This window comes from Homo sapiens, chromosome 1 (assembly GCF_000001405.40).
Source record: "Homo sapiens chromosome 1, GRCh38.p14 Primary Assembly".
Lineage (NCBI taxonomy): Eukaryota > Metazoa > Chordata > Mammalia > Primates > Hominidae > Homo > Homo sapiens.
This window is the reverse complement of record NC_000001.11, coordinates 14,431,119-14,451,945: the sequence shown is the minus strand read 5'-3', so window position 1 is coordinate 14,451,945 and position 20,827 is coordinate 14,431,119. Positions and strand designations below refer to the sequence as shown.

General features: G+C 46.4%; 1 protein-coding gene across 6 annotated transcripts in view, besides 1 other annotated feature; it reads right to left on the bottom strand.

Moving 5' to 3' along the window:
* The window catches only part of KAZN (kazrin, periplakin interacting protein), a 1,225,220-nt gene that overhangs the window by 666,098 nt on the left and 538,295 nt on the right, over window positions 1–20,827 (bottom strand). The window lies entirely within an intron of this gene.
* Window positions 14,677–14,778: a silencer, noted in NCBI's record as "fragment chr1:14763664-14763765 (GRCh37/hg19 assembly coordinates)". NCBI's record gives its function as "represses an EF-1alpha promoter that drives an FKBP-Casp9 reporter gene in an ReSE screen in phorbol 12-myristate 13-acetate-treated (for megakaryocytic differentiation) K562 erythroleukemia cells {active_cell/tissue: K562(+PMA)}" and the evidence as "EXISTENCE:reporter gene assay evidence [ECO:0000049][PMID:32094911]".

The following is a 20,827-nucleotide window of genomic DNA, read 5'->3' as shown; positions in this document are numbered from 1 at the left end:
AACAAAACAAAAAAGAGTTAATCTCATCCCAAAACAGCGTCCAATCTGCCAAGTGCCTGAACAGAACAAAAAGGCTGAGAAGGGAGAACTCAGTCTACCTGACTGTCTTCAAGGTGGAACATTAGCCTTCTCTGGTCCTTGGGTTTGGATTTGGACTAGAACTTACACCATCATCAGCTCTTCTGGTTTTCAGGTCTTTGGACTTGAACTGGAACTATACCGCCCACTCTCTTGGGTCTTCAGCTTGCTGACTGCAAATCTTGAGACTTCTCAGCCATCACAATTAAAAGCAAGTATTTAAAACATCCTTATAATCCCTCTCTCTTTCTTTCTCTCTTTCTCTCTCTCTCTCTCTCTCTCTTTCTGAAACTGCTGGTCTGTTTTTGTTCTGTTCTGGAGAACATAGGTGGGTTCTGTTTCTCTGGAGAACCCAGACTGATACATCTCGCCTCCCATCAATTCTGTGGGCCTGAGACCTTCCAGAAACTCAGTCTCAGCTGTTGGTTTCTGTTGTCTGTAACCATGTGCTCCCACAGAAAGTAAGCCCTGAGCTGGGCGCTTAGATAAGCAATCTAAGTCTACATTCTTACTGATTGCCTTTTTGAGGTACCAATATAATTCCCACCCAGTAGGTATGAATCATGGGTAGATGACACTGTTTCAGAGCCTAGTCTCTGAGGGGGCTGGGTTTGTGTTTTGGACAGTCCTTGTGGGGTACTTAGCAACTGTGTTAGGCCATTCTTGCATTACTATAAAGAAAGGCCTGAGACTAGGTAATTTATAGAGAAAAGAGGTTTGATTGGCTCGTGGTTCTGCATGCTGTATAGGAAGCATGGTGCCAGCATCTGCTCAGCTTCTGGGGAGGCTTCAGGGAGTTTTTATTCATGGCAGAAGGTGAAGTTGGGGCAGGCATGTCACATGGTGTGAGAGGGAGCAAGAAAGTGAGGGGAAGATGCTGCACACTTTTACACAGCCAGATCTTGTGAGAGCTGGCTCACTATCGGGAGGACAGCACCGAGAGGATGACACTAAACCATTCATCAGAAACCTAGGACGACCATCCAGTCACCTCCTACCAGGCCCCACCTCCAACACTGTGGATTACAATTCAACATGAGATTTAGAGGGGATGACATCCAAACTATATCAGCAGCCAAGCACCCTCTTCTCAGTCTTTCCTTTGCAATTTCAAACAGCCTACCCCTCCTTCCCCACACTTGATGTCCGGGGTTTGTAAAACTTGGCAAAGTGGTAGTTGACATCATTTTTCCCACGCCCCACCATCGTCACAATATCACAATGGCACTACCATGCAGCAGCTCTGTTTTGCTGTTGTTGTTTTTTGTTTGTTTTTTTGAGGTGGAGTCTTGTTCTGTGTCCCAGGCTGGAGTGCAATGGCATGATCTCCACTCACTGCAACCTCTGCCTCCTGGTTTCATGCAATTCTCCTGTCTCAGCCTCCTGAGTAGCTGGGATTACAGGTGCCTGCCACCACGTCTGGCTAATTTTTTGTATTTTTAGTAGAGACGGGGTTTCACCATGTTGGCCAGGCTGGTCTCGAACTCTTGACCTCAGGTGATCTACCCGCTTCGGCCTCCGAAAGTGTTGGGATTACAGGCATGAGCCACTGCGCCCAGACACAGCAGCTCTGTTTATATCAGGTGCCCTGTGCTAGCTTATCATGAAACAGCATCCTATTCCTCAAATCATTTGGAAGCTCAGAAAACAGAAATTAAATGTGAAGCAAGAGGGATGAAGACCGGCCAAGAAAAGAAAGGACAGGTGTGGTTGGATGACAGGCAGAGAGAGACTGCAGGCGGGGGGGCAGCACTCTCCCCAGCATCTCCTGAAGCTCCCAGAGCATGCTGTGGCTAAGATTTGCATGAAAGCATTTGCACAGGGTGAGCAAATTGGAGCACCAAGTTGGAGACAGGCACAAAACCATAAAACCCTCCTGAAAGGGGCCATTAAGAGTTAAAAACTGGGTAAAATTCCTTTTACCATGATTTTACTTGAATCTGGGAATGTATCCCCTCATTTTTCTCAAACTTAGAGTCAGAAGGGGCTCATTAAACTCACAAATTTCTCCAAATGCATTTGAAATAACCGAGATGAAGTCAGGGAGGAATCATCGCTTGGTATCAGCCCATTGTTCAGAAAGCAGCAAACCGGATGATCCCTGATCTTGAAAACATTCATTGTTTCTAGGTAGTACTGATTGAAGACCATAAAATTCAAAGTCAGCCCTCATCCTACATGAAATTATTGAAACAATCTCCATAGTGAATTTTGGTTTTACTAGTTCTTTCCCTCTTGGGGAACATGTGTTCCAAGGTGTGAAAAGCTTTATACTACTCTCTCCTCCCGAAAAATTCCATATGTATAAGCACACACTATTTTGCATAGAGTTTCATTTAGGACAATATTCCTATTCCTGCTGCCCAGGGAGGCATGGACCCCAATCACCACCCAAATTAAGAAGCTTTAAGCTCAAGGTCAGTGCAAGAGCATCATCCAGGTTTCTGAGGGTGATGGCAAAATATTCTGGTTCTGTAAAATTTCTAAGTCTCTAGGAAAAGACGCAAACAACTAAAGCAAAGTGGTAGAGGTGGATAAGGCCAGATACAAGGAGAGGAATCCAGGATGGCCAGCAGCCATTCCAGCAACTCGTGGGGCAGCTTACTTGATAATGAAGCCAAACCAGAAGACATCAGAGAAAAGGAGGAGAGACTAAGTCCTCATGGCATGGTCTGTGTTCTTGAAATCAGGCATTACTGAAGCCATCACCTCCTTGAATTTTCTAGTTATGGGAGCTAATCAGTCCCTTTTGGTTAAAGCTCATTTGAATTGGATTTCTGTTACTTACAACCCACATAGTCATCAACATTGTCGTGGACCATGTGTCAGGCCAGGAGCTAAGAAGTCTTCAATGCAGATCAGATTCTACCACGAAAACCTCCCTGCAAGTCTCTTCTTTGGGTCTTAGTTTCCCCATCTGTATAATAAGGGGATTGGGTAAGATGCATTCTAGCTTCCTCCAGTTCTCAAACTCCATGACAGGAGGCAGAAGCATGACCTTGCCCATCAGTCACGTGTGAATGTCATGGGGGTTGAGAAGCAAAGAAGTGTGCTTGCCTGTGCAGGGCTGGAGAGGTGAGGGAGTCAGGCGTCTTGTTTGGGTTGCCTGGGGTCCCTTGTGCCTGCCCTCGCCCAACTCCGTGTTGGACCATTTTGCTTCTGTTGCCTGCTATTCTGTACAGGGCCATTCCTGTGCCAATAATCTATTACTTCCTCTCTGGGGCTGGTGTCCAGTCAAGAGTTGTTGGGAATCCCTAAGCAGTGACTTCAATCCAGGATGTGCATTTAGTAGATTTGCTAAGCCAGTGGCATCCAGAGCCCTTGCCTTGGCTCCTCTTTGTTTGTGTTTTTAAAAGGGAAGAAAGAGTCCAGCAATACAGTCAGATGACCATGTATACTCTGCAGATTCATCTTGGTGATGGAGGACACCTTCCAGTTATCTGTTGGTTAGCACAGACACAGAAAGTATCTGAACACGTCCTGCTGGATTGCTCCTTCCCATTCTCCCTCTTGGCCTTTGCCACTTTCTCATTCTATAGCTGTGACGATGGCACTGTGTGGTGCCTTATACCTGGGCTTTGGACCAGAAAGATCAGAGGTCATGTCCCTGCTCTGCCAGTTACCAATGGTGTGATCTTGAGCTAGTGACCTAGTCTTCTCAGTCTCAGTGCCCTCCTCTGTAAGATGGAGTGTTGTATGAAGATTGAAAGGGGAGATGTCCAAAGTGCTTACAGCAGGTCTCAGCGCATGGCTGCTATTCAGTCAATGCTACCAGGGCTTGTTGAGAACAATCTTAACCACAGTTTGTCCTGTGGACAAGCTTCTGAGTGGGTATCCTGTTTACTTACAGTGCAGAGCTCAAACCACAGGTCCCCTACTCTCTCCTGCTATCCTGCAGCTCCTGGTCCTGCCTCTGTTCCAGGTTTTAGGTTATAATGTGGTGGTGACAGAAATGGGTTCTAACTTCTTTTCAGGTACTTTTTAGCTGGAAGCTCTTGGGCACATTATTTAACTTCTTTTAGCTTCTTTCTTTTTTAGCTGCAAAATGCTGATCTAATCCACCCTTTGATGTTGTTGTGAGATTTGAAGTAGTCAGGGCATCTAAAGGACTTAGGACAGCGCCCCCTCCCAGAATGAGAGACCCCCAACCCCATGGCTGAGGAGACGAGATGAATTCCTGAGCCAGAATCTCAGCTTTAGGATGACTAACCATAGCCAATAAATACAGCAGATAAAAATTAAAAGTGAGGAAAAACAGGGGAAAATGAAGCAGAGGATGGACATTGCCCAGGTAATTCTAAATGTCTAGGTTGTTAAAATGTGGTGGAGGGCTGGGCGCGGTGGCTCATGCCTGTAATCCCAGCACTTTGGGAGGCCAAGGCGGGTGGATCACCGAGTGAAAAGATCGAGACCATCCTGGCTAACACGGTGAAACCCCGTCTCTACTAAAAATACAAAAAAATTAGCCCGGTGTGGTGGCAGGCGCCTGTAGTCCCAGCTACTCGGGAGGCTGAGGCAGGAGAATGGTGTGAATCCAGGAGGTGGAGCTTGCAGTGAGCTGAGATCACGCCACTGCACTCCAGCCTGGGCGACAGAGCAAAATTCTGCCTCAATAATAATAATAATAATAATAATAATAATAATAATAATAATAATAATGTGGTGGAAACGCCATGTTCCAAGGGAGAACTAGAAGAATTATGGGTTCCCACTAGGATACCAGAGGCTCTGGCTTTAGCTAAATATAAAGCACACATGGACATAAATATGGGAACATTACACACTGCGAACTACTTGGGAGGAAAGAAGATGAGAGGTATGGGTTGAAAAACTACCTATCACATACTATGCTCACTAACTGGGTGACGGGATTTGTACCCCAAACCTCAGCATCATGTAACATCCCTATATAACAAACCTGTACATGTGCCCTCTGTATATGCAATAAAAGTTGAATTTTTTTTTAAAGGTGCTTCCATTCAGGAATCCATGGAGCACAATTTTCCAGCTGAAATAAATATGGGGTAGGGATGGGGATCTTTCCTTAGAGGCAGGGTCAAGCCCCAGCAATCCCACAGGACAGGCTGCTGCACCAGCAATTGTGATGGTGGCAAAGGACTTGGACTTGCCACTGTGGAGAGGTTTGCACTAGACTGAGCTACCTGCGAATGAAGAACTGGAGCCCTCTCACCTAGGGTTCAAGGGGAAAAAGAAATGAAGAGATTTTGAATACGTTGGATGGGGAAGAATGGTACCTCGAGTGAGATAGGTGACTGAGACCACCACCGCTGCCAACCCTAGCCTCCATGGTTTAGCTCATACTGGAATTAACCATGGCAGAGGAGATTTTTCCCAATTGAATTAGAGTCCACATAGATTGAGACTATAGTTATTGACCCACTAGCATCCTAGGGAGGCTAAAACCAAGATATTTTCCATTCATCCTCCTTTTCTTAGATACCACTAGATCCCTGCTGTAGTCTTTGGCAACAGAAAGTCCGTCTGCATTGCTATGTACTGGGCCCTGGGAACATCACTGGGCTTGGAATAAGGTATCTAGGGTGGGATTCAATTATTTTTTAATTTTTTGTGTGTGGCCAATGCTGTCATTCCCCTGCTCAAATTAGCACGCAGCATTCCAGTAATGTCAACCAATTCTTTTTTTGTTTTCTGAGACAGGGTCTTGCTCTGTGGCCCAGGCTGGAGTGTAGTGGCATGATGATAGCTCACTGCAGCCTGGACCTCCTGGGCTGAAGTAATCCTCCAGCCTCAGTCTCCTGAGTAGCTGGGCCTACAGGTGTGCACCAGCACACTTGGCTAACTTAATTTTTTTTTTTTTTGTAGAGATGGGGTCTTGCCATGTTGCTCAGTCTTGAACTCCTGGCCTCAAGTGATCCTCCCACCTTGACCTCCCAAAGTGCAGGGTTACAGGCTTGAGCCACTGTGCCCAGCCTCAACCGCTTCATACTTCAAACACATGCAATGCTCAGCGTAAGGGTTTTCTCCCTGCTGGCGGGAACCCTGGGAGCCTGCGCTAGAGACAAATGGGAGATGGAAGGTGAATACCCCGGCTCCCTCTCATCTTGGCTGGGATCACTCCAATATGTGTGTTCTATGCTGTCTCCCAGAGTTCCCCAGTGGCATTGAGCCTCAGGTGTTCTCAGTACAATCCCAGTCAATACAGCACCTTTACTGACTGCCTTCACTTTCCTAATCACCAGCCAGGCTTCCCAGACCACCATGTTGGTGTTCCATAACCAAATACCACAGTCGGGGGGCTTCAACAACAGAAGTTTATTGTCTCACAGTCCTGGAAGCCAGAAGCCCAGGTTCAAGGTGTGGGCAGGGCTGGCTCCTTCTGAAAGCCGTAGGGAAGAATCAATTCCAGCCTCTCTCCCAGTTTCTGGTGGTTTCCTGGCAATCTATGACATTCCTTAGCTCATAGATGGATTACTTCCTTCTCGGCTTGTGTGTTTGTGTGCTGATCTCCCCGAGCATATGTGTCTGTTTCCACATTTTCTCCTCTTAAAAGCACACCAGTTGGCCGGGTGCAGTGGCTCATGCCTGTAATCTCAGCACTTTGGGAGGCTGAGATGGGCGGATCACCTGAGGTCAGGAGTTCGAGACCAGCCTGGCCAACATGGTGAAACCCCGCCTCTACTAAAAACACAAAAATTAGCCAGGCATGGTGGCCCATGCCTGTAATCCCAGCTACTTGGGAGGCTGAGGCAGAAGAATAGCTTGAACCCGGGAGGCGGAAGTTGTAGTGAACCAAAATCACGCCACTGCACTCCAGCCTGGGTGGCAGAGCAAGACTCCGTCTCAAAAAAAAAAAAAGCACACGGGTTATGTTGGATTAGAGCCCACCCTAATGACCTCATTTTAACTTGATTAAAGACCTCTTTCTCTTCAAATAAATTCACAGTCTGAGTACCAGAGTTTAGGGCTTCAATATGTGAATTTTGGGGGGAACAAATTCAACCCATAACATGAAACTATTTGTAACTAAAACCTAATGTTTTCAGGGTAGATATGAGGCTAGTGCGGTGATTAGATATATAAATGTTTTGGGCTCTTATTTAAAGGTGAGACATGTGATAGCTTTGGTGTAGAACAAATTTAAATTTCGAGGTCCTGAAGAAATCTCATGCACTCCAGGAGTAAATACCCAAGCTGCATCCACTGAAGAACCCCGATTCTACCCAGACGTCGGGGTGAATTGAAGCGAGCACCAATAGAGCAGAAAAAAGAATCGGGCCGGACGCGGTGGCTCACGCCTGTAATCCCAACACTTTGGGAGGCCAAGGAGGGCAGATCACCTGAGGTTAGGAGTTTTGAGACCAGCCTGACCAACATGGAGAAACCCCATCTCTACTAAAAATACAAAATTAGCCGGGCAAGGTGGCTCAAACCTGTAATCCCAGCTACTCGGGAGGCTGAGGCAGGAGAATCAGTTGGACCTGGGAGGTGGAGGTTGCGGTGAGCCAAGATTGTGCCATTGCACTCCAGCCTGGGTGACAAGAGCGAGATTCCATCTCAAAAAAAAAAAAAAAAAAAAAAATCATGAATTTAGTTTATTTTGGAGATGAGCGAGTTGGAGGGCGGGTGACACCAAAGAAACCATCAGGTAAGGATCACTGCTGCAGTGGATTTTGATATCATTTTCCATAAGGGGTATATGTACATCTCATGAAGGTTTGCAGTGAAAGCCTTTGCAATTCAAAGTTTGAGAGTTACTCTGTGTCTGAACCCATACTTTGAAGTCTATTAAAGAAAACTCTACTATTATAATCCAGGTAGGTTCAATGAGAAAAAATATATACTCTGCAGTTAGTACAGGAGTTGAGGTGGCCAGATTCCTTGTTTTATAACTTTCAATTTACCTGTCTTCTAAGTTGAGCAAATCTTGTGATCTCTCAGGTGGTGGCTCTGCTTAGGATTTACAAAAAAAATTGAAACTTGAAGGATAGTCGAAGCCCTGGGAACTCTTTTATTCAAAGTGCAAAAAAGGAGAACAATCCTGCTATAAAATTATAGCAAAATGCTGCTATACCATTTTGGCAGCAGGAAGACCACAGAATGTAATCAGAAGTCTAAGGAAAGCAGCAAAATACTTAGGTCACATGAATAAACAATGCACCTTTAATGCCTCCACATCCCTGTGGGAGGCTCGAGAGGAGTGAGTCACTGGGGATTAGCTTCTGGAATTAAGAAAACATGCTCTCCTCCATTAATGACATCTTGCCTTATCTTCCCATCCCAGTTAACACCATAATTGTACCCCATCAGAGCCCTGGAGAGTGGGCAGGAAGGCCAGGGGCCTCCAATCCAATGGAGACTCTCCCTTGCTCTCTCAGATGACTGCAGGCCTCCTGTTAGAATGATTTCCATTTGCAAACGAGGTGGGCTGCTCTTGATTTATTTCATTACTGGAGCAAAGCTCCATCCTCCATCTCTGGATGTGTCTCGTGTCTTATCTCCCAAGAGCCCCTGGCCCACAGAGGTAGACTGCTGGCTGGAACTTAATTAGGCAGCCTTTGAAGATCCAGTGGCCCCTCTGGCAGCCAGCCACCTTATCTCATGGTGCAGAAATCCCTTGGGGAGCTGTTCTTGCAGAGCACTGGGGCCCATTCGGGAGAGACTTGAGATTTATTTTTTGATTTGCAAAACAAAACAATACAAAATAAAACCTTTCTTTTAATATATTACTTGGGAAGCCCAGATCACGTTTGGAAGAGCCAAAACATTTCACGGTTGCAAGAATCTTAAAGGTTATGTAATTCAAGGAGGGTGGGTTGAGGTAGAAAAGAGAAATGGGGACCAGAGAAAGACTTGACTGATTGGCCAAGTTCACCCAAACAGCTCAATGAGACAAGCTAATGGTGCATGAGTTCCCAAAAGAAAGACTGGTGAAAAGAAAACAGATGTGGCATTCCTGAGAAGGGTGATCCTATAAATGACCCACGTGTCGGGGAGCAGGGGCCAGCTCACCTTGGCTGGTGCTGTAGGGCTAAACTGCCACAAGGCGGCAATGAACAAGACCACTTTTGCTTTTATGGGAAGTGCTTTCGGTGCTCAGTTTTAGGTACTGACACTTATGAAATCAGGCCAACAGGGATTTTTGTAGTGTCCTAACAAGAAAGTTTCAGCCCCCAAATGGAAATTTCAGGACAGGTCTTCTTTCCTCTTAGGCACAAAATAAATGGAATTCCAGGCCTGGCTCACCTCCAAGTGTCTGTGGCCTCTGGTGCTTCTGACCCTTTTCCTATCGGGTGCACCCCACCAGGTTAACCCAGCAGCAACAAGCTGAGTCCCCACAGAGCTACTTCTGGGCACCCAAGCCTGCTGGTTGAGAAGGTGTAGCTGCAACAGCTATAGACGGTTAGGGGTTTCAGCAGGTCCTCTGTGACGATCTCATACAGCAGCAAAACCTCCAAGGGCATAGTGAGCTTCTATGACAGTCCCTGTTCCTGCAGCTAAAAGTCTTGCTGATTTCTCTGAGCCCCAATTTTAAAGCACAAGCCTTGGTAGATGGGTAGTGATTTGTGTCCAATTAGCATATCAGGCATTTGGTCAGCCTGAGTGAAATGGTCAAAAGTATAAGTATATTGCCAAAGCCGCAATCCAAATCATATCCAATCTTCTCTTTGTATAACACCTTGTAATTTTCAAATGAGGCTTTCTAAATCATCATCTTTTCTGATCCTTGCAACTCTGTGAGGTGGGCAGGAGTATTGTCAGAACCTCATCTGGTTTGTAAGGCATTTCTAAGTCAATTAGAAAGATGTCCCTTCCCCTGCAGGGGGACAAAGCCTAGCTCAGCTGGACTTCAGCTCCCACTTGCTCCTCAGCTGGGTTCCCTTGTGTAGTGCACAACCTGCTCAACCCTACATGGCAGCCCTGGGTAGTCTCTCAATTTCTTAGGTGAAGAAATTAAGGCTCAGAAGGTTACTTGACTTGCTCAAGCTTACTTAACTTAGATCTTCTGGCTACGGGTCCAGTGTTGCCTTTACCATACACATCTATCCTCCCAACTCTCCTTTTTGCTTTATTTCAACAATTTCTTTTTTGTTAAAAAAAGTATATTTAATGTGAGCATACACCATTATTTCTCATTCTCACCCAAATGTCCTTCTTGCTGAGTTGAATAAATGCCCCCATCATGAGCCAGCTTTATGGGATTTTGACTCACTATGTAAAATTGCACCAAAAAATTTTAATCCTCTGAGACATTTGAGGGTTGCAGCTGCAAACAATTAATTTGTGTTAAAATCCAAACGTATCTGATGAGAACAGCATAAGTCACTGCTTTCCAAACTCTGTTCCTTAGGACACAAATACTCTCAAGACTTGAGGGGCCTCAGAATCACCTGGAGGACTTGTAAAATGTCGCTGGCCTCACGCCCAGGGTTTCTGATTCAGCAGGTCCAGGGTAGGGCATGAGAATCTGAGTTTCTCACAAGTTCCCAGGTGCTGCTGCTGCTGCTGCTGCCGCTGCCGCTGCTGCCCGGAACAACATACTGGGAAGTCCAGTTCCAGATAATGCTAATGGAAGTTCAGCATAACTTTAGTTTCAGGGTTTAAAATATATATATATATATATATGAGTATTCTCATGGAAGTTAATTCAGAAGATAGACTTGAAAAAGCCTATCATAAGCTATAAGAAGCCAAAGTTGCTTTCTGAGCTTAATTAATGTATCTTCCAGTCATTTAACAATCATTAAGAGCTGAAGATGGTCCAGGGGCTGCTCAAGGCCCTGGGGCTTCAGAGGCCTGGTCCTTGTCCTCCAGGAGCTGTCAGTCCATCAGGTGCTCAGAGAAGCAAACAGGCCATGACATCCTAATGGACTGCATACTCTGTCCTGCATATGATCAGTGCTAGTCATCTGGGGACTGGGGGTGATTGTGGTTCACTGAGACAACAGCAGGAGAGAAGAAGGTTGCTGCCAGCCCTCAGAACCTGTCTGCGTCACTCATCTGCGTTGAACGTGATGCCTTTTCTATTGCTAAGTCATAGACCTGGACACCTGACTTAACATGTGTAGTGTGCCTTGGGAATTCACAGAATGTCACAGGTGACCAGGACAGGCTTCATGGATGAGTGACCTATGCACGGCATCCCCTCTGCCAAAACAGAAGAGCACCATGCTTGGTTTAATGCTCTGCTGTGGCTGCCTTGAAATTCCTAATAATGTTTGAACAAGGGGCCTTATGTTTTGATTTTGCACTGGGACCCCTGCAAATTATGTAGCCAGTTCTAAGCATGACTTAATCAGTCATTCCTCAAACATCTTTTTGAGCAACCACAAAGTGTCATATACTGAATTAGGCATTAGAGGTTCTTGCTTCAGTAGGATGGGGTTCCTGTCGAGGAGCTAGTCACTAAATGCAGAAGACAGACATATGAATGGGAATTGACAATCCAATATGGTAGTTCCCGGAAGAGAGCAGAACACGCCCGATCCTTCATGTCTACAGCAAAGAATTTATTTCTGCCAAAGTCTCTCCAGCTGTCAGTACAAAGCTCTGCATCTCTTATCAACCCACGGAGGACTGGAATCCTCCGCCAGGTAATTTACGGAGAGGAGTTGCGGGCAGTCTCCGTCACCTAGAATATCACCCTCCTGCCAAGGTTAGCATTTGTCAAAGTCATGGTCATTAGTGCACATTTTTTACAGAGTACCTTCTTTGTGGCTGAATTCTTTAAAGTGCTGGGGACATGCAGTGAACTAGACAGATAAAGATGTTCACCTTGGTGGAGCTGGTGTTCTAGCAAACAGACATAATAGAACAACAGACCTAACGAATAAGTAGATTATGTAACCTCTTAGAGGGGGAGAGGTGCAGTGAGAAAGAAAAAAGTAGAGCCAGAACAGTGGGGTTGGGAGTAGATGGGGGTGGGACGTGGTTGGGATGAACTGAAAAGGCAAGCGCTGAAGGAGGTGAGATGTTAAACATGCTGAAGAAGGACCCTCCGGGAAGAAGGAGCAGACAACAGAGTGTAGAGCCTGTGCTTTTGAGGAACAAACAGTGAGAGGTCAGCGTTGGTGATGTGGGGTAACTATAAGAGGTAGGGGAGAAAAGAAAAGGTCAAAGCGTTATGAAGGGACCCACTCATGTTGGGCATTGTAGGCCTGCACTGTCCAATATGGCGGCCACTGCCTCATGTGACTATTTTCATTTAAATTAATTAACGTGAAACAAAATTGCAAATGTAGTTCCTTAGTCACATGAGTTATATTTTAAGTGCTCAGTAGCCACCTGTGGCCAGTGGCTACCATACTGGACAGTGTACATCTAGAACGTTCCTATCACTGCAAAAAGTTCTAAGTGAACAGCAAATTTAGAGACTTTAGCTTTTACTCCAAGTGGAATGGGGAGCTATGGAGAGTTTGAGCAGAGAAGAGACATTCTGGCTTCTATATTGAGGAGGGGGTCTAAGTAGGTAAAAACTCCTAACTCTGTTAGGAGGCAGTTATAGTTTTCAAAGCAACAATCACTAATGGTGGCTCAGATCAGGGCAGCAGAGGAGGTGGTGAGAAGTGCTCAGTGCATTGGTATTTTGAATGCAGAGCCAACAGAACTTGCTGATGGATCACATAGGGAGCATGGAAAAATACAAAAGAGAAGGAGGAAGGATGATGACCAGGCCTGTGCAGCTGGAAATCTGTGGTCAGCATCTTCTGAGAAGAAGACACTGTGAGCAGGGCAGGTTTTGGGTGTGGAGAAAAACGATGAGTTCAGTTTTGGATATTTTGTGTGTGTGATATTTATTGGAAATCCCAGTAGAGCACTGAGTAGACAGTTGGCTGTAAGAGCCTGGAGTTTAGAAGATGAGTCTGGACTAGGTATTTACAATGGGCAGTTGTTAGAATGGAGACGCAATAAATACCCAAGACTGGGTGAATTTGCTAAGGGAGTGAAAATAGAAGAAGACCTGTTAGAAGAGGTGGAAGACTTCACAGCACTAAGGGCTTACATAGGGAAACAGCAGGTACCGGAGGAAACTGGAAACTTCTACTTTAGCCTATCAGCCACGAGGAACTTTGGAAGACTTTTAGGAAGCTCATCGTGAGCCCCTCCCTGACTCCTATGGTAATTTCTCATTCATTTCACAAGGTAAAGAGAAAATTCCACTCAGAATAGAAGCCAAAACCCTTCCAGTGGCTGACAAGCCCTCCATGACAGGTGCCCACAACACTCTCACTTGTCCCATCTGGTCTCCTACTCATTGCTGCTCATACCACGTGCTGTTTGTGTTTACCACACTCTGGCCTCCTTGCCATTTCCCATTTCCCACACTCCTGCCCCAGGGCCTTTGCACTGGCTGCTCCCTGTGTCTTGATGTCTAGAATGTTCTTCCCCCAGATACCTGATGGCTTACTCTCTTGCCTCCACATGAATCTTTCCTGGCCGGCCCCGTTCCCTGTCCCCTTATTCTGCCCTCTCTTTTCCACTAAGATTTGTCCCCATCTGACATGTCATATGTCTTGCTTATTGCTGATTCCCCTTCTCCCGACACCAGAAAGTCAGCCTCCTGAGGGCAGGGATGTTTGTTTAGCGTGTTTTGCTCATTGACATATCCCCAGCATTGGGAACAGCACTGGGCACCTGGCAGGCACTTGGTAAATATCTGTGTTGAGTAATTTGATGTAAGCCTATACCCACAGGACTGTGCTCAGAGACCATCCAGGGCATCTGCAAAGGGATGAACAGAAACAGAGAAGCAGGGCACGTGGTGTTGCTCAGATCTTTTTTTTTTTTTTTTTGGCTTTAGGGAAATAACTTTTTGACCTTTCTTGAAGTTTAACTGGTGGCAGAAGGAGAGAAAAGGGAAACCCAAAAGGGAGGCAAAACTGGGATGAGAGCTGGCTTGTTGCTTTCAGAAGTTCACCAATACAGCTACCACCTTTTAGAGGACATGAGAAAAAGGGAACATGTCATCCCATCTCTGGATGGGATGATGGCAGCTCCTCCTCCTCCTCCTTTTTCTTTCTCATTTTCTTTGTTGCTGTCACTTCAAATGCTGCCCTCTTTGACTTCCTTTAAATAGCCAGGGTAGAAACATACACGGGGGAGGTACCGTGCATGTCTTTGAAACCTGGTCCAGCAATGTGCCAACTGCACGCGGCTCTCAGCATGCAGAGCCTCCCGGCTTCTCATGTCCGACCCACGGGCTGCAGCGACTGCAGCTCCTGGCAGGGGCACGGATTCTGAGAGGTGGAGGCAGGGGAAGGGAGAGGAGAGGGAGGATGTTTGACAATGCTCCCACCTTTTTTTCTTTTAATAAAAGTACAGCAAATTGATCCTGTTGGAAAAATTGGACAAGCATTTTTACAATGCATTGTTTCTGACTGCCAGGGGCGAGGTGAGAAAGAGCGAGAACAAAGACGCAGGTCTCACTGTCTAATTCTCTTTGTCCAGCATAAAGCATCATTTCTCGTGATTGTTGAAAATTGTGCACCAGCCTCAGCGAGGACTTGAAAGGGAAGCTGAGCTCTTCAACATGCGCGTTTCATCGACTGTGTTCTGAAAATGCTCCTCATTGCTGTAAATATGCCCCAGTCTTAGGAGTTAAGAGCGGCAGTGAGCTGGAGCCCCCAGCTGTGGGATGTGGGGATGAGTGGGAGTCAGGGTTCCTTTGAGAAATGAGGGGAGTGGTTCTCAGATCACAAACTGACATGGTTTTATCTAGAAGAGACACATGGCTCTGACTCACTGAATTTCCATGCAGGATCTAACTGGGACACATCAAGGGAACTTCAGTGTTTTCAGCACCAGCTTCACAAGAGGAGAATGAGACACAGTTTTTATCTATTTCCTCTGGAGGACAAAAGGTCTGGATCCAGGGTAGTTGGTAAAAGAAGCTGAAGTGTCAGGCAGGGAAACAGGACTTTTAAAAAGTGATAATAAAATGAACTACAATCAGCTGAGTGTGCTGGAGAGGTGCATGCAAAGTATCTTGAGAAGAAGGCTTTGGAATCAGACAGACCTGAGTGAAATCCTCTTTGCTCCACTGACCAGCTGTCGGACCTTGGCCAAGTAACTTAACATCTCAGGGCCTTGATTCTCCTCTCTGTAAAATGGGAATAATACTAGTAACTACCTCTCAGGATTGTTTTAAGGTTTTTTTTTTTTTTTTTTTTTGAGACAGAGTCTCGCTCTGTCGCCCAGGCTGGAGTGCAGTGGTGCAATCTCAGCTCACTGCAACTTCTGCCTCCTGGGTTCAAGTGATCCTCCTGCCTCAGCTTCTCAAGTAGCTGGGGTTACAGGTGCCTGCCACCACACCTGGCTAATTTTTGTAGTTTTAGTAGAGACGGGGTTTCACCATGTTGTCCAGGCTGGTCTCGAACTCCTGACCTCAGGTGATCTGCCTGCCTCGGCCTCTCAAAGTACTGGGATTGTTTTAAAGTTTAAACAAGAAAATGCATATCAGTGCCTGGCACAAAGAAATCCCTCAATAATTGCTAGCTGCCACTTCCTCCTCCACCACCACCACCACCACCAGCACTGCCATGGTCATCATCATCATCCTCATTCACTTAATTCTGACTCAACCACTTCCTGCCTGAGTGACTGTGGGTAGGTCATCTAATCCTGTGTGTGTGTGCATTCCATTTTCTTTTCTTTTTTTTGAGTTGGAGTTTCACTCTTTTTGCCCAGGCTGGAGTGCAATGGCGCGATCTCGGCTCACTGCAACCTCCACCTCCCGGGTTCAAGCGAGTCTCCTGCCTCAGCCTCCCAAGTAGCTGGGATTACAGGCGCCCGCCACCACACCCGGCTAATTTTTTGTATTTTTAGTAGAGATGGGGTTTCACCATGTTGGCCAGGATGGTCTTGATCTCCTTTTCTTCATCTGTAGAATGGACATTGTGACAGTATTTGACTCAAATTCCTTGACATAGTTTGTGTTAAGCACAGTGACTCAGTGGCAGCACACAGTAACGCTCCACATAGAGTCACCCATATCGTTAGGCCCTGTCACCATCCCCATTCTAAGATATCGTTAGGCCCTGTCACCATCCCCATTCTAAGATATCATTAGGCCCTGTCACCATCCCCATTCGAAGATATCGTTAGGCCCTGTCACCATCCCCATTCGAAGATATCGTTAGGCCCTGTCATCATCCCCATTCTAAGATGAGGTAGCTGCGGTTTAAAGATCTTGCCGAAGGTCAAAGTTTCAAGCAGGGCTCTTAACTGCTGCCTTCAGCTGCACGCTCCCAGAAGCAGCCCTGGGGACCAGGGTCTGGGTGTAATTGGGTCCCAGGAGGTAGTGGTGGGGGTGAAGGCAGGGGCAAAGGAATGGGAGGCAGCCCATACAGCGTCCATCAAGGAGCAGGACATCCCTGCGGGCAGCTGGGAAAACTGGCCAGGTGGCGCGGGTCATGCCTCTGAGCTGCCCCCTAGTGTCAAAGGAGCTGGGGTGTTTATTCTCCTCCTTGCATTTGCCATTGGCTGAGGGTGGCTCCTGAGAGTGGCAACTCCTGGTCACCTCTAGCTGTCCTATGTGTGGCTGAAGGAGAGCTCTTGGGTATTCAGTTTCATCATTAGCGAGTGCCAGAGTGGAAATGCCAAAGGATGGCCACCGTGCACCTGTCAGCTGGGAGGCCAAGGGTAGAGTTGAAACAGCCTAGAATGGAGTTCAGCCAACCTGGGCAGACATAAGGAAAGCAGGGAGAACAGTGGATCAGAGCTCTGAAGACCACGAGCGCCACCGATGCTGGAGGGCAGACAGGGCAGAGGGCTAGGACTCAAGGGACCTGCACTGGCAGGAGAATAGAATTGGGTTTAATCAAGGAGACCCTGGCTGAGGTTCTTTCCCATTGAGGTGTGGTGTAAGGATGGTGGGATTGCTGCCTTCCTAGGGCTGACAGCCTCGTACACACCTGCGTCTCAGGATAGGATGAGACCTCTTTGCACAGAGCCTCAGACAAAGTGTGTCAGCAGCACAGTGGATAAAGAGGTTTAACAATGGCAGGATGTGCCTTTTACTAACTTCCTCTGAAGGAAACAGTGGCTGGAGGCCACCGAGAGCGAGTGGCTGATGTAGGAGTGAGAAAAGCAGACAGTGCCCCATGGAGAGGAGGTGCGTTGGAGGCAGGGTCCTGGGCTGGGGTCCCAGCACATGTTCCTGTCATGCCTGAGCTGCACCCTGCTCCGTGGACTGAGGCCAGTTCTCTTCCAGAGTTGTATCCTAAAAACTCTTCTCCATTCTAAGGTTTCCCAAAATGGTCCTGCTTCCTGCTCCCCAGGGCCCAGTGTTCTCAGCCAGCTCCATCATCCACCATGAAGCAGCCAGGGCCTGCTGCATCGTCTAATTGACTCCACAGCATAAGAACTGGCCGTGCAGAAGGGTGTGTAATTCACTAGAAATGATGTGTCATGGGACAAGTTCTACCCCTGAATGCCAATGTAAATTTCCCCTTCCTCATTTGAGTTTTGTCCTTCATGAGAATTCCCATCATTAAACTACCAAAGAGACATGAAACATGGCTCCGCACAACTCTGCTGGATGCTGCTGGCCATTAGAACCCAGACTTGAATTCTGAACCGGTAAGGGAGGTGGCAGCATGAGAGAAGGGAGGGGGCGGAGGAAGAATAACCAAGAGTTCAAGATTCCTCATAACAGGATTTTTTTCATGATAGCCCCAAACTGGAAATAATCCAAATGCCTGTGAACAGGAGAATAAATAAATGGATCCTAGTGGGGTCTGGCAATGCAATGGATTGAAAATAAAAAAGAGCCAATGGATGCATCTATTTGGGCAGCCACAACAAAATACCATGCACCGGTGGCTTAAACATCAAGTTATGTTCCAACAGTTCTGGAGGTTGAAAATCCAAGATCAGGGTGCCAGCACGGCCAGGTTCTGGTGAGATCCCCCTTCCTGGTTTGCAAACAGCCTCCTTCGCATTGTGTCCTCACGTGGCCATTCCCTGGTGCATGTGCACATCCAGAGGAAGAGAGAGAACGCTTCACTGTCTCCTTTTTTTTTGTTTTTGAGACAGAGTCTCACTCAGTTGCTCACGCTGGAGTGCAGTGACACCATCTCTGATCACTGCAACCTCCGCCTCCCGGGTTCAAGCTATTCTCCTGCCTTAGCCTCCCGAGTAGCTGGGATTACAGGCACATGCCACCATACCTGGCTAAGTTTTTGTATTTTTTAGTAGAGATGGGGATTTGCCATGTTGGTCAGGCTGCTCTTGAACTCCTGACCTCTGGTGATCCACCTGCCTTGGCCTCCCAAAGTGCTGGGATTACAGGCTTGAGCCACTGTGCCCAGCCTGCTGTCTCTTTTTAGAAGAGCACTAATTCCATTACAACAGCCCCTCCCTCGTGACTTCCTCTAACCCGAATTCCCTTTCAAAACCCCATCTCCTAATACCATCACACAGGGCTTCAACACGTGCATTTTGGAGGAACACAAATAGTCTGTAAGAGCAAACCACAAAAAAAATGGATGAATCTCAAAAATATTATGTTGAATGAAAGAAACTGGGCACCGAAGAGTGCACACTATGCAATTATTTTTAAATGCATTTCTAGAACAGGCAAAACTAATCTATGGTGGTAGAAGCCAGGAGAGCAGTTGTCTCTGTGGGGGGTGGGTGCTGGCTGGAAAGGGCATGAGGAACTTTCTGGGAAGAGGGAAAAGCTCTGGATCTTGACTGGCAGGAGTGGCGTCACAGGTGTCTGCATGTTCGTATCTCATGGGACTGCATGCTACAACATGTGTATTTTATTTCATGATACCTCCATGAATACCAGCATTAAAAATAAATATGTAGAGCTTTGGGAGGAGTGTTATGAGATCCAGAGAGACTGAATAATTTGTGTGTGTGTGTGTGCACAACCACCTACACAGATATGTACAACTATACATATACATACACACACACACATAGCCACAGCCACACATATACACCATGGAATACTATGCAGCCATAAAAAAGAATAAGATCATGTCCTTTGCAGGGACATCAATGAAGCTGGAAGCCATCATTCTCAGCAAACTAACACAGGAACAGAAAACCAAACACCGCATGTTCTCACTTACAAGTGGGAACTGAACAATGAGAACATAGGGACACGGAGAGGAACAACACACACCGGGACCTCTTGGGGGTTGGGGGTGGGGAAAGGGGAGAGAGAACATTAGGACAAATACCTAATGCATGCAGGGCTTAAAACCTAGATGACAGGCTGATAGGTGCAGCAAACCACCATGGCACATGTATACCTACATAACAAACCTGCACATTCTGCACATGTATCCCGGAACTTAAAGTAAAATTAAAAAAAAAATTATAAAAAAGAAAGAAGCCACAGCCAATCGCAATGATTCGTCAAGTACTAAAGGACAGTACAAACCATCAGTGGGAACCCCATATATCTGTCTGCCAAAGGGAAACCGTGCCAGTGTTGCTTGGAGCAGACAAGCTCGTGAGACTGGGTGGACTGAATCATGTCTGGAAGACTGGTGTGATTAAACTGACGTTTCTTGTTGAGTTATATTCTAGAGCTCATAGCTTTTCTTTTCCATTCTGGTGAAAAAAATTACAATTTTTCACTGTTGCAGAATTGAACTGTGACTTATGGTCCATGATCTACATAGTCAATTTCACGTACTTCTGGCAGTACTACCACATTTTCAATAGTTTCTAGAAAAAGTTGTTCTTTGGGGAAGCTAAAGGGTGTGTAGCTGCTTCTCCATCACTCCCTGCTGCTAGTAGGCTTGCGGGGAAAAGATCAGAGTTGAGGATGAGAAGTGTGAAAGTCACATAGTCTTTGATTTTAGCACAATTCTGGGAGATCCTTACTCTTCACACCATGTTTGGTTCCTATATTAGTCAGGGTTCTCCAGAGGGACAGAACCAACAGGACACAGGTACATATGAAAGAAAGCTTATTAGGGAGAATTGGTTCACATGATTATAAGACACAGTCCCACGATAAGCCGTCTGCAAGCTGGGGAAGAGACAAGGCAGTAGTGTCTCAGTCCGAGTCCAAAAGCTTCAAAACCAGGGAAGACAACAGTGCAGCCTTCAGTCTGTTGCAAAGGCCTGAGAGCCCCTGGAGGCCACTGGTGCAAGTCCCAGAGTCCAAAGGCTGAAGACCCTGGAGTCTAATGTCCAAGGGCAGCAGGAGCAGAAGCAAGCATTCAAGGCAGGAAGAAGAAGGAAGCCAGAAGACCCAGCTAGCAAGGTTATTCCATCTTCTTCTGCCTGCTTTGTTCTAGCAATGCTGGCAGCCAATGGATGGTGCCCACCTACACTGAAGGTGGGTCTTCCTCTCCCAGTCCACCGACTCAAATGTCAACACCCTCAGAGACACACCCAGAAACAATACTTTACCAGCTATCTAGGCATTCTTCAATTCAAGCAAGTGGACATCTAACATTAGCCATCACAGGTCCCCATTATCTGCCCTCATCTTTTCTACTTAGGGCCCTTTTATCCTCCAAGTAGGGGCTTGGAACAGCCAAAAACTTGAGTAAAAATGTTGACTCCACACTTATTGGCTATTTGGGCTTGGATAAATTAACTAATTTTATCAATTATAAAATGGATCCCCAAATGCCCATCTCTAATGGCCACTCTGAGGATTAAATGAGAAATTGTCGAGCACTATGGCCAATGTCAGGTGGATGCTAAGTGGCCCATACCTTCTATTTACCCCACTCATAATATTATTGCCAAATTCAGATATGCTTGTCTATCATTATATACTTTGTTCTTCAAT